The following is a 13,574-nucleotide window of genomic DNA, read 5'->3' as shown; positions in this document are numbered from 1 at the left end:
TCCAGAAATTATAAAATATGTATTCATAAAATGTTTTGGTATATAACAATTAAAATTTCTTACTTCCTATGTTTTTACTGAAAATTAAGGTTATAAAGAGTTACAACTGGCCGGGTGTGGTGGCTCATGCCTGTAATCCCAACACTTTTGGCTGGCGGATCACCTGAGGTCAGGAGTTCGAGACCAGCCTGGCCAACATGGTGAAACCCTACCTCTACTAAAAATACAAAACTTAGCTGGATGTGGTGGCGGGCACCTGTAATCCCAGCTACTGGGGAGGCTGAGGCAGGACAATTGCTTGAACCTAGGAGGCGGAGGTTACAGTGAGCCGAGATTGCACCATTGCACTCCAGCCTAGGTGACAGAGTAAGAGAGTAAGATTCAGTCTAAAAAAAAAAAAAAAAAAGAAAAAAAAGAGTTAAAACTATAGTTAATATATGTAATTACAAGTGCTAAAATTAAGAGAAACAATTTCACATGCTGAGTACCAAAAACAAACAAACAAACAGAAGACACGTTTTTGATGAAAAATGTTTTAAGGAAGTCATGAAGAAGTGGATTTTGTTGAAAGAAAATAAATTTTGTTTAGTTTGGGAGTTATCTAGATGTTGTTTCAAAATTTTAAAAAGGCAGGCAAAAGTAGTGGATATAAAAAGCTACGAAATTTTTAAAAATTTTAAGTGGTTATGAAAGTTTATGGGTATGTTTGTGTGGTCAATGCTGAATGCTATTAGATAGATTTGTTTATAAAATTTTGTTAAAATTAGCTTTAGTATTAACGACACATTTCTACAAAAGTTAACTTTGTTTTTTTCTTTTGAACAAGATTTTTGTGTAATATTAATATAAGATAGCAAAATATTTTATTCACCTTTGAGTGAACTGCAAAAGGGGAAGGTTGAGAAAGAGGAGAGATTTTGTATGTCTCACATTGTCTTTATTAGGCCTTTTGATTGCTTGGAAAATTTAGTTTTCTATCAGTGAACAAAGGTTTTTGATTTTTAAAATGTTTTACTTATCACTTTGGCTAAATGAATGACTATTAATTTACAGTGACCTATAATCTTTTTTTGATCAAGTGTTATAAACCTTTGAAATATTTGACAATCTTCCCCAAATCAAATTTTGTATTCTAAATTAAGTCTTTATGACTTCAAACTAACTTTGGGAAAAATGCAGAGAAACCCTGAAAACATCTGAAAGAAAGATAATAAACCTAATCAGGCTTATTTAATATGTTAAATAATATAGAAGACATTAGCAAATAAAAAATGATGCTTAACTTTCTCTGAGTTATATTTGTATAAATGTATTATTGGTATGCACCCCAAAGTTGACTATGATTCCTAAAAATCTGATATATTAAATTGTTGTAACAGAAAATAACCAAATTTCCTTGTCAGTTCCATCTTTAACTACGGCCATTGTAAGCCTTGTTCTCCACAGTTAAGAGCTTTAATTCTGATGTTTTTTCTCAAAAATCTTTGCAAGCAACTATAATTCTAAAGTATTGTGTTTTCATGTTTCCTAAAAAAAGTTAAAAAGATTCTGACAGGTACTCTGAAATACAGACTTCTGCTGATGACTGAAATTATTCAATTAAACAGGGTAAGAATTTCAAAAGCTCCAATAGAAGAAAAATTAGATTCATAAAACTGCTAACCAAACATCAAGCAGAACAAGAATTAATCACATGGGACTGAACTGATGAACAATTATGATTTTTTATAACTTTTTTTTGTTTGAAACACTGCTGATCATGTTATAAGAGTTATTAAGAAATTATTTTGGGCACATAGAGAAGAAAAAGGGTCCTTGGGGAGTTTTTGTTTCTTTTAAAGCAGCTCCAGAAACGTTTCTTGTCTAGCAGGAAAGTCCTGGCTCTTAGAGGTAGGCGGACAAGCTTTGATATGCAAATGCGGCCATTAAAAACTGGTTCCACCCAAACATGGCAATTCCTGCCATCTTTTCCCTTCTTCCCTAATGTGCCTGGCAACATGGCCACCTCCACATATCCCCACGTGTGTAAAACATCATGGTGCCCTGCAATTGCATATTAAAAGGCCAGGGTGAGAGGGCCAGTTTCTTCGCCTCTACGTGAATGACATGCCTGAGCAAACCAAACCCCTGAGCCCTACGCAAATCAAACACCACCTCCTTCAGCCTCCTCATATAACTGGCTGTTTGCCATTGCACTGGGGGTTTCCTCTCTCAACTTGGAGCCCCCCGCCCTCTGTCTCTGTACAGGGGAGCTTCTTCCTTCTTTCTTGCGTTTTAAACTCTCCGCTCCTTCAAATCATTCCATGTATATCCATGTCGTTTTATCTAAATCAGCCCAAAACCAAGGACGCTGGTGTTCCTCCAGTCACTGAAGCCTTATCAATAATTTTTATATTCTGTTTTCCAGAGTACAAAAAGCTTTTTTTCTTTTAAGCTATTTATAGCTTACAGCAATTGGGTAAACTATACTTTTCTGAACAAAACTGAAACATTTGTCTTTCTTACTATTTGATTCCTCCAGAATTTGGATGATTCATGAGTATTATTATTTTATGGCAATACAGTTATTTGCATAAGCTCACTAAAGACCTGTTTTCTTTTGTAACAGGACTCAAGTGGAGATGCAAATTATTTTACCCAGACTTTGACTGGAATGTCATATCTTTAGACAGCTTTGAGAAGGTGGGGTTGACTTTATAAAGCCAACCTCATACCCTTGGAAAGACTTGCCTAGAACCTTATATACACAGTTCCCTCATAAAATTCCTAGCTTTGTGGTAAGTAAATAATGTCACTTTTTGACAGGCTGAGGAAACTCAAGAGAAGTTTTAGAGACCTCAAGAAGAGAGAAATTCACCCAATTCATACAGGTATTACCAGTCTGAAGGTGAGTCAAATTCTTGGCTTGGTTTCTTAGCCTTCAGTGGCTTTTAAAAGTCTAATCTTGGATTCCTTTTGAGAAGTTACAGCAAAGCCAATTTAAGTACAGCCTGTATGATAAGTCATTATCTGTAACTTTACAGAAAGTTACAGGTCAAGTTAATGCAAATTGTTTTACAAACAAGTTAGTCTTTCCATAAACATCTTTTATAGAACTGAGGGACCAGAGAAAGAAAAATTATGTTTCAGAAGAAAATTACTGCACACCTACTATTAGATTCTAGCCCTGTCCATAATGTTTGAGTTACGTTTATTATCTGGACTGAATCCTGAATTTGTAGCTTCCTCCAGTATCCGGCTGCAACTTGCCATACTGTTTCCCATTTCACCCCACTTTTCTGACTTAAAATCAGCAGAAATTAAAAATTCCTTTTTCCTGAAGCTCTGTAAACTGAAGTTAGACAGCTTGATAAATAGGAACCACAGAAATCACCACAATGGCTTTTGTATAGACAACCTTTATGCCAGGAAAATTTGTGAGATTGCCACTACCCTCCCTTCTCTAACTAAAGATGCTTCAGCTTAGATGCAGTTGTCTTTGCCACTGGCTGCCCTCCAGACTAGAGAAAAACTGTTTTATAGACTACTGTACATAGTAAACTTTGGTTTTTTTTTCCTGTTTTCATAAAAATACCTCTTATTAACAATCTTTTGGCCTGTATCATATATAGAGGCCTAGCTTTGAGACTATATCTGCAACACCATCTTATAGAATGAGAGGCAACTGTTTAATTGAACTGGCCTATTCCCGGAAATGAGAGACTGGTTTAACTGGGTGTGAAGAAAAGTGCTCAGATTCATTCTTTTCTATGTATTCATTCTCGTCCTAATCTATTTTGTTTTCTTCTTTCTCAGATACCTCGCCATTTAATTACCAACTTGATTTCTCTCTCCATAACTACCAATCCTATTTTAATATGTGAAACTGTCTAAAAATATTATTTGAAATGGGAAACTGAAGGAAATCAGAATATTTTATCCTGAAATATGGCTGAACTAAAGAAATGACACCGGCATCGTCTGACCTTCCTCCACTCCTGCCTCTTAACCCTTTATGTCTCCCAAAGCATGGGATGAGGCTTTTCTCTGAAGTTCTCTTGCCTACCTAAAATCTGGGCCCCCAAAGACAAATACAATTGCCTTTTATCCTCTCCCTAAAATCTCATTATCTATGGTAGAAAAGAAGACTGAGTAATGTAACCACACCAGGACAGAATTTTTCACATGATAATGTCTTCCTCTTGGGTTCATTCAAATTTCAGAGAGAATTACTTACAAGTTAATTTCTGCCTCCCAGGCCCATTCATCCTCTCTAAAAATCATTTACTGCCTCTCAAAAGAATTGTCTATTTTCCCCATCTTCCCCCTCCCCTACATGAAGGATAAACTTTTGTACCCCATTGGGTTATTGGATAATCACACTTCTGCAATTTTCCCACTGCTGTGTATGTTAAAATGAATTTAGTATGCTATTTATTTATTTATTTATTTATTTATTTATTTATGAGATAGGTCTCACTCTTTCATTCAGGCTGGAGTGTGGTGGCATAATCATAGTTCACTATAGCCTCAAACTCCTGAGCTCAAGTGATCCTCCTGCCTCAGCTACCCAAGTAGCTAGGAGTAGAGGTAGCAGCCACCACATACAGCTATTTTTTATTTTTTAGTTGAGATCGGCTCTCAACTATGTTCCCCAGGCTGATCTCAAACTCTTGGCCTCAAGTAATCCTCCTGCCTTGGCCTCCAAATGTGTGGGTATTGCAGGCATGAGCTACTACGCCTGGCGTATGCTTTTTCTTCTATTAATCTGCCCTTTATCAATTAATTTTCAGTGAAACTTCAGAAGGTGAAGGGGATGTTTTACTTAGCCCCTACAATACAAAATAAAAGCTAGTTACTTAGAAAATCTACTGGCATAGTCATTAGCAGTGCTCCCAAACTTTTTCTTATCAAGGAGCAAAGGGAAATTGGTCTATTTTTAAGGTGCACTGTGATAAATAGATGAGTTTTCTCTCAGCCAGGAAGGATGAGCCCTAGGGCATTGCCATTTGTCCCTGAAGACTGAATGAATCAATATTTTGTCACACCTCCCAGCTCACCAGTGTGCCATGGACTATGCCTTAATCACGATTAAGAGCTTTTTTATGAAAGACACACTTGTTGACAAATTTTCTCAGGCCCTGATACAAGTAAGGTCTACGTTTTCCTAAGACTGACTCTTATTATGGCCTTTAATGCAAGTCCATGGAACAAAGTCCCATTCAGTAAAAGCTATTCCATCATAGGCTCAAAGATTATGGCCCAGGTACCTGACTTTGTGATTATCTGGGTAGACCCAGAGAGAAAATTTACCATATCTAGAGAAATGGATAGAGCGCTTATCCTTCAGTCATGTTAAATCCCTTCTAGTTGATAAAACCTTGAGTAATCAGGAAATGAAGGAGACTAATAGATTCACCCTTGATGAAAATTGACACCCACATGCAAGTCTCAGGGAAAGTGAATTTTCCAGACAGGGAAAGTGAATTTTCCAGACAAAACCTGCTTGGGTAATGTAAATCAGGCCTGGGAGGCACCATTTGAATGCAAACAGACTTAAGGACTTAGTGCAATTGCTTTCTGTCATCTGGATCACAAATAAGATGAACAGATTTAAAGTGAAAGCCTTAGCTATAAACCTGGTGGAAAATAGAGCTAGATCATTGTACAAAGAAATGAAGAAACTTAAAGGGGGAAGCAAACATATATCCAATAGCTCTAAAATAGAAAGACCTTATCTTCCTCAGGGGCTTGTTCAGATACTCGGTATCTTTTTTATTCCATCATCACTATTAAACTCTATTCCTATAAACGACTTAGTTTTTAAATGTTCATAGGTGTTTTCTCATTTATTTTCCTACATAACCAAGAGGATTACGGTAGAAAGAACTCTATAGGCATATACTCCAAAGTTGTTTGGGGCACTGTAGTTTGTTTTTTGTGGCTTAGTGATTTTTAAATGCAAAACAGAAAATATCTGTTCATTGGATTGGTTATACATTTTATGGCCAAAAGTTTCTTCTTTGCACCATATTACTTGCAAGGTATCCTAACTTACCCTATCTAGATTTAAAAGACTAGAGATGTGTCATAAGTGGAGATATTCTACCATTGTCAAATTCAACATTAGCTTAAAGAATAAATTTGTTCTGTTGACAGAGGGAAAGCAAAAATAAACTGGTAGGTGAAATAGATCATCTTGGTAAGAAACCTAAGAACTGGTGGCAATTTCTGTGTCTAGGAAATAGGCAAAAAGGAAAAAGATAAGCAATAGTGAATATATTTATATTCCTCAAGTGAGAATAAGAAATGAAATTGTGGCCGGGCAAGGTGGCTCACGCCTGTAATCCCAGCACTTTGGGAGGCCGAGGCGGGCAGATCACGAGGTTAGGAGATCAAGACCATCCTGGCGAACACTGTGAAACCCTGTCTCTACTAAAAATACAAAAAAAAAAAATTAGCCGGGCGTGGTGGTGGGCGCTTGTAGTCCCAGGTACTAGGGAGGCTGAGGCAGGAGAATGGCATGAACCCAGGGGGCGGAGCTTGCAGTGAGCAGAGATCGCCCCACTGCACTCCAGCCTGGGCAACAGAGTGAGAGTCTGTCTCAAAAAAAAAAAAAAAAAAAGAAAGAAAAAAGAAAAAAGAAATGAAATTGTTTGGGGGTGTTTTCTTGTGTTTTTGTTTGCAAGTGGATTAAGTCATATGGAGATTTGATGGCTATAGTAACTGACAAGACCAGGAATTAAGGGTTTCCAGCATAACTGGATTGAGAACTCAAATTATAACATCAGTTCTTATTTGTTCTGCCTCTTAGGTTTGTCTTTCTTTGGTCATTTAAATCCCACCACTTCACGGGACCAAGATGCTCTGACTGTAGCCTTCCATATCTCAGGTTTATGACTGACTAGTGGAGAAAAGAAAAGCTCAAACAAAAACCCAAGGTTTTCTCTGACTTTTCCAATGATCTTAACTTAAATCCCATGCTTATGACATCTGAACCAATCTCTGTCAAGAGGATTGAATGCACTCAATGACTGAACCTAAGTTATAAGATTCACTCCTAGATGGAAGAAGTATGCATTCGTGTTGTGGAGAGCCATCACAGAGTAAGTGCGGTAGAGACGTGCACAAAAGGCTGTCACTAAACATAGTGTAAATGGATTTTGTCAGTCTAATAAGAGTAACAAAGAAATACAGCACCAAAAATAACAGCAAGAAGAACAGAAATAACAATTAACATTTACTGAGAGCATACTATACATCAGGCCTTATTATATACCTGGTTAGCTCATTTAATCTTCACAACAATAGGACATCTCACATGCTACAGAGCAGAAAGATAGGAAGCTAGCTCTCATGTTTCTTCTTACAAGGGTGCCAATTCCATCATGAAGAATTCACCCTCATGACATAATTACCTCTCAAAAGTTCCACCTCAAAATGCTATTACACTAGGGACTAGGTTTCAACATATGGATTTTGGGGGGGAACATTTAGTCCATAGCAATCTACTTCACCCAAAGCGAATGTCAGACATTCTTTCATGATTATGCTTAATGTGTTCCCTGAGATATACATGATCTGATATTTGGTTCATTCACCAAGATTTTTTCTACTCAATTTTAGCATTTAATTTGTGGGAGATACTTGTTGTTTAATGTGGTACAACATATATTTTAGATTTTTTTTTTGAGATGGAGTCTTGTTCTGTCCCCTAGGCTGGAGTGCAGTGGCGCAGTCTTGGCTCATTGCAACCTCTGCCTTCTGGGTTCAAGCGATTCTCTTGCCTTAGTCTCCTGAGTAGCTGGGATTACAGGTGCCCGCCACCATGCCAGGCTAATTTTTGTATTTTTAGTAGAGACGGGGTTTCACCATTTTGGCCAAGCTGGTCTTGAGCTCTTGACCTCGTGATCCACCTGCCTCGGCCTCCCAAAGTGCTGGAATTACAGGCGTGAGCCACTGAACCCGGTATTTTAGAATTTTATAATAATAATTTATATATTGATGTATATTTATGTGTTGCACACTGTACTGATGGATATACATTAAATTTTATCTTTTCATCTTTTCAACAACCTTATATTTCAAAGTTGACCTAACTCTCCTTCTGAAAATAGTTTCTTCCACTTTTGCTTTTTGTGACACCACATTTTTCTAGCCTCTTCTTTCTTCCCGACAGTTATTTTTTTGTATACAATAGCTAGTCCCTATCTTTCAAATTTCTAAATGTTAATGTCTTTGAGGTTCAGTTCTTTATCACATTTTTCCTTGTTTAATACTGTATTTAAATGACATATCATTCCCATGGCCTAAAATTCATGCTATAACTTTCAAATTTGTTCAAACTTACTCTTAACTCCTAATTTGGACCAAGAACTATTCTAGATAGATGTGCAACACTGATATGAGTCTGGGTGATGAGAAGTTGTCTTAGTCTGGTTTGTGTTGTTGCAACAGAATACCAGATATTTGACAATTTATAATAAACAGAAATTTATTTAGCTCACAGTTTTGGAACTGGGAATTCCAAGAGCATGGTGCCAGCATCTGGCAAGGGCCTTCATGCTGTGTCATCGTCATCCCATAATGAAAGGTGGAAGGGCAAGAGAGGACAAGAATAAGAGAACAAGAAATGACTAAACTTGTTTTCACAACAAAGCCACACTTAAAATAACCAACCCACCCCTACAAGAAAAACATTAATCCATTCATAAAGACAAAGCCCTGTTGACCTAATCACCGCTTGAAGGTGGCACTTTAAAAATGGGTACAGAAGATGCAGCCCTTCATGTTTAAAAAAAAAAAAAATTACGGGCCGGGAGCAGTGGCTCACGCCTGTAATCCCAGCACTTTGGGAGGCCAAGGTGGGTGGATCACGAGATCAGGAAATAAGACCATCCTGGCTAACACGGTGAAACCCTGTCTCTATTAAAAATGCAAAAAATTAGCCGGGCGTGGTGGCGGGCTCCTGTAGTCCCAGCTACTCCGGAGGCTGAGGCAGGAGAATGGCATGAATCCGGGAGGAAGAGCTTGCAGTGAGCTGAGACTGCGCCACTGCACTCCAGCCTGGGTGACAGAGCGAGACTCCGTCTCAAAAAAAAAAAAAAAAATTACTCCCAGAAATAGGGTAAGAAAGCACAAAGACTCTTGTAGCCACAGAGAGTTAGAAACAATCTTTGTGCTTACAGTGTCTCTAGCACCTCACAAATCTGTGGAGACTTCCAGCCACAGAACTGTTAATTCCACCTGGGATACTGGGTAGATCTTCTTGGGATTGGATTTTCCAGGACTAACCAGGCAACAAGAGTTAAGACAGCAAAAGCTTCTCATATATAGGACTTATTAAGAAAAGTTTTCCTGGTTGGGCACAGTGGCTCACACCTGTAGTCCTACCACTTTGGGAGGCCGAGGCAGGTGGAATGCCTGAGCTCAAGAGTTTGAGACCAGCCTAGGCAACATGGAAAAAGCCCATCCCTGCTAAAAATACCAAAAATTATCTGGGCATGGTGGCATGTGCCTGTAGTCTGAGCTACTCGGTAGGCTGATTCAGGAAAATTGCTTGAACCTGAGAGGTGGAGGTTTCAGTGAGCTAAGATCATGCCACTGCACTGCAGCCTGGGCAACAGAGTGAGACTCTGTCTCCAAAAAAAAAAAAAAAAAAAAAGAAAGAAGGAAAGAAAGAAAAATTATCCTGACAGCCTTGTCCATTAGGAACAAAGAATAAAAGAATATGGTGCCTTATATCTGAACTGTCTCAAGACTCCCAGTCCTTTCAGAGTGGCCACTGTATATGATGTGAAAATCATGCCCTCCAAATGGTGAAGACCAAGAAAGAGTGCTCCCACTTGGTCACAAGTCACCGCCTCAAGGACATAAAATGAGAAGGAATCTACAAAAAGACAGAGACAAAGGACAAAGTAGAGACTATTTTGGGGAGGGAAAGGATCAGACAATAAGAGTATTTATACCAAACATAGACCAGAGTCACTACACCTAAGACTAGTCATACAAATGCTTTTCTCTCATTACTCTCAAATTTGAAAAGGAAAAGCAGTGATTTTTATTATCTACCGCACTGGATTCCACAGAGAAGAGACCAGGATTGCTAAGAATTTCGTACCTTTGCCTGCTAGTCAAGTCCTGTATTCCTTTAACTGTGGCTTCCAGAAGAGCAGAGCAGTATTGGTTACTCTGCTGATAGCACCAAAACTCTGCGGGCCAAGAGAAAATGGTGCTTTTGCCCTCTGAATTTTCACTGAAAAATCACCTGACAAAAGGCAGACTAATAGGAGAAAAGGCATACAAAATTCATTTTAATGTGCATAACATGGAGAAATTGCAGGAGTCTTGAGGTTTGACTTTATTTCCTTTCTTCCTTCCTTCCTTCCTTCCTTCCTTCCCTCCTTCCCTCCCTTCCTCCCTCCCTCTTTCTTTTCTTTTCTTTTTTTCTTTCTCTTTCTTCCTTTCTCTTTCTTGGAGTCTTGCTCTGCCACCCAGGCTGGAGTGCTGTGGTGTGATCTCGGCTCACTGCAACCTCTGCCTCCAAGGTTCAAGCGATTCTCCTGCCTCAGCCTCCCAAGTAGCTGGGACTACAGGCACATGCCACCACACCCAGGTAATCTTTTGCATTTGTATTAGACACGAGGTTTCACTGTGTTAGCCATGATGGTCTCAATCTGACCTCATGATCTGCCCACCTCGGCCTCCCAAAGTGCTGTATTACAGACGTGAGCCACCAGGCCCGGGTTTTTTTTTTTTTTTTTTGAGAGGGAGTCTTGCTCTGTCCCCCAGACTGGAGTGCAATGGCATGGCATGATCTCAGCTCACTGCAACCTCCACTTAGCTGGTTCAAGCGACTCTCCCACCTCAGCCTCCCAAGTAGCTGGAAATACAGGTGTATGTGCCACCACGCCTGGCTAATTTTTGTATTTTTAGTAGAGACGGGGTTTCGCCATGTTGGCCAGGCTGGGAGATTTCACTTAAATCTATGTTTATTTTATGACTTTAGTTTGTGTGTTTACAGGTATGTGCAGGCATACCCTTTGTGAATGTGTGTTCGTGCATTTTCCTTTTTCTTTCTGCTTTGTGGTAAGTAATTCTGTTAGTCACTGTCAGTCAGAGACAAGGTGACATATGGGGTTAACAAAATATTAAAAAATACAAATATAATAGGATGTATACATGAACAAAACTGATTACTTATGAAACAAAAGAGTTCGAATTTCTTCTCAGGCCAATTTAACATATAGTAAAATTCTATTGTCTTTTCAAGTAAAGGCCAGTAGAAGGTGTTTTTCTCATAATAAAACTGAAAAAACATATGCAAAAAGTAAACTTTGGATTTTTTAATACAGGAACAAAGTATATTTCTATTGTTAAATTCAGTTAATCTCCTCAGTTAGTCAAACTTAAACAACATCACAGCTGAGAAGAGACGGTAAAGTAAATCAAATGAAAACAACAAAAACAAAACTCGGTTATTGAGCCAGAATTCCAGTGTTCCTTTGAGAATACAGTTACTGATTTTACAACATCAAAAAGGAGGGAGATACATTGGTTAAGGAAAACAACGTATCAGAACTTTATTTGCATGCCATTCACTCCATTGCTAACCACTCTGTGAAGTCTTATTATGCACATCTTACAAATGAAGCAACTGAGGCTTATAGAGTTTCAGTATTTTCTTTAGGAAAACAGCATGTTAAGTGTCATCGCCAGATGCAAACCAGAAGCAGTGTAGTTTCCACTACTAGAATTTGTCTTTAATAAGCCCATAAACAGTCTTAAAACACTTGACAAGTCTTTGTGGATGCCAGTTATAAATGTAACTGGTCATTTCCGTCTAGAGAAGATGGTAGGGCCAATTGTCCAGCGTGGAGCACGCCCCTCATCACAGAACAGACATTTGATCATCTGAGTCCTGAATCAGGTGGAAGAACAGAGAAGCAATAGAAATCCAAATATGGTGGAAAAGGGGGAAAGTGAATGTCTGCAAAAGTCGTATCTTCTGCTTTCCAACCATGCCCAGACATTATTTAGAAACCTGACTAGGAATCCTCTGCAATACTTATTGGTCTTTGTACAAGGTGTTCTCACTGTCTGGTTTGGTTTTAACTTAATTCCATTCTACTGGCTAAGAAATTACTCTACCTTCTATTTTCCTATGCTTATTCATTCAGCCATTGTTTATTGAGAATCTCCTATGTGCTTAGGTGGTCTCACCATTGTCTTTTATATATACTTCTGTCATAGAACTTAACCAATTGTTGACATATTTTTGTCTTCTTTTGTATGAGAGTTCGTTTCTTGGATAATTTTAATTCCTAGGGATTCAGCAATGTAGAAGACACAAATTCAGCCCTTGAGATATTTGGGGTGCTTGTTACTAGGCACTTAGGCAAGCTGATGATATGAATGGATGAATGAATGAACATTTAGATTAGCCAACTGGATACTTTTGGGAACTTAAAGAAGAAAAAGTTCACATGATGGTCTGGTGACCTATTACAATTATCTGATAAGAATAAGGGAAAGCCTTCAAAATATCCATTTGCACACATTTAAAATCAAGTGTTAAATGCTCACATAGGTGCTAGAGAAAACATAGTCAGTCTATTTGGATGCAGAAACTCTTCCTCATGTGAATAGGACATATTAGTAGTGGCAGGGCAGAAGAATCAATTCCTTTATTATTTAATGTGTGCAGTAATTGGGGCTCATTTTAATCTTCTGTGAAACTGTGAGACAGATTGATAGCTATTCAGTGCAGACATAGAAAATGGCTTTTGACTAAGCTACAATCTCTACAGAAGGATGAAGGAGCAGACTAGTGTCTAGGTATTGGTTTAAAGTTTGAGAATCACTTTAAGAATATTTGGGGAAATGCAGGTTACCAGGCCTACTACAGGGATTAAGCTTTAATAGATCTGCTTTATGAAGTTAGAATCTATGTATTTATGTTTTTATTTTATCAGATTCCTAGGCAACTGTAGCACCAATTTTGGGACGCATTTCTTCATGCATGAGGACCCATGAAGTGTGATTAGACTGATGAGTGCCCAGGGGACTGTTGAACTATGCCACTAAAGAAAAAAAAAAAAGATTTCCAAAAAGTATTTTTTCCAAAGAGTATTTTCCCTTTTCAATCTTGAGAAAGATCTGCAGAGCTTATTCTCTGCATTGCTAATGAAGGCAGTGCTTTATATTAAAGGTTCCCTGCTGTGGAGCTAGCAACGTCAGGACCAGCCTCAGCTTTTAAGTGTTAATGATCATCAGCCCTTCTTTCCCCAGAGGAGTGAAGCAAGTTTCTCTGTCCTCTTTAGGGTTTCTCAGCACCAGACTCCAGTGTGGGCCTGATATTCTGGGAACTGTCAGACAGCAGAGGCCTTCCTCTAAGGTGTAGATTTGTTCTCCAAAATCAGTCTCTCACCTTTCCTGTTTGCTGCATGTAATCCGGGGATTAATGATGGAATCCTTCTCCAAAGAAATGTCTTTCTGAAAATCTGTGAGTACATTTAGGGTGTGAGAGACTGATAGAAAGGCTTGTAGTGGGGTAGACTGGTTCAAAAAGGGATTGGCTAATGACTAGGTGTCTA

At 38.5% G+C, this 13,574-nt stretch overlaps 1 annotated feature.

The window, feature by feature from the left end:
- Nucleotides 1,610-2,214: an enhancer, noted in NCBI's record as "OCT4-NANOG hESC enhancer chr16:60251661-60252265 (GRCh37/hg19 assembly coordinates)". NCBI's record gives its function as "activates a minimal SCP1, AML or CMV promoter by ChIP-STARR-seq in primed H9 embryonic stem cells {active_cell/tissue: H9 hESC(primed)}" and the evidence as "EXISTENCE:reporter gene assay evidence [ECO:0000049][PMID:30033119]".

The sequence above is a fragment of the Homo sapiens genome, chromosome 16 (genome assembly GCF_000001405.40).
Source record: "Homo sapiens chromosome 16, GRCh38.p14 Primary Assembly".
In the NCBI taxonomy this organism is placed as follows: domain Eukaryota; kingdom Metazoa; phylum Chordata; class Mammalia; order Primates; family Hominidae; genus Homo; species Homo sapiens.
The sequence above is the reverse complement of the archived record's forward strand: the minus strand, read 5'-3'. Positions and strand labels throughout refer to the sequence as shown.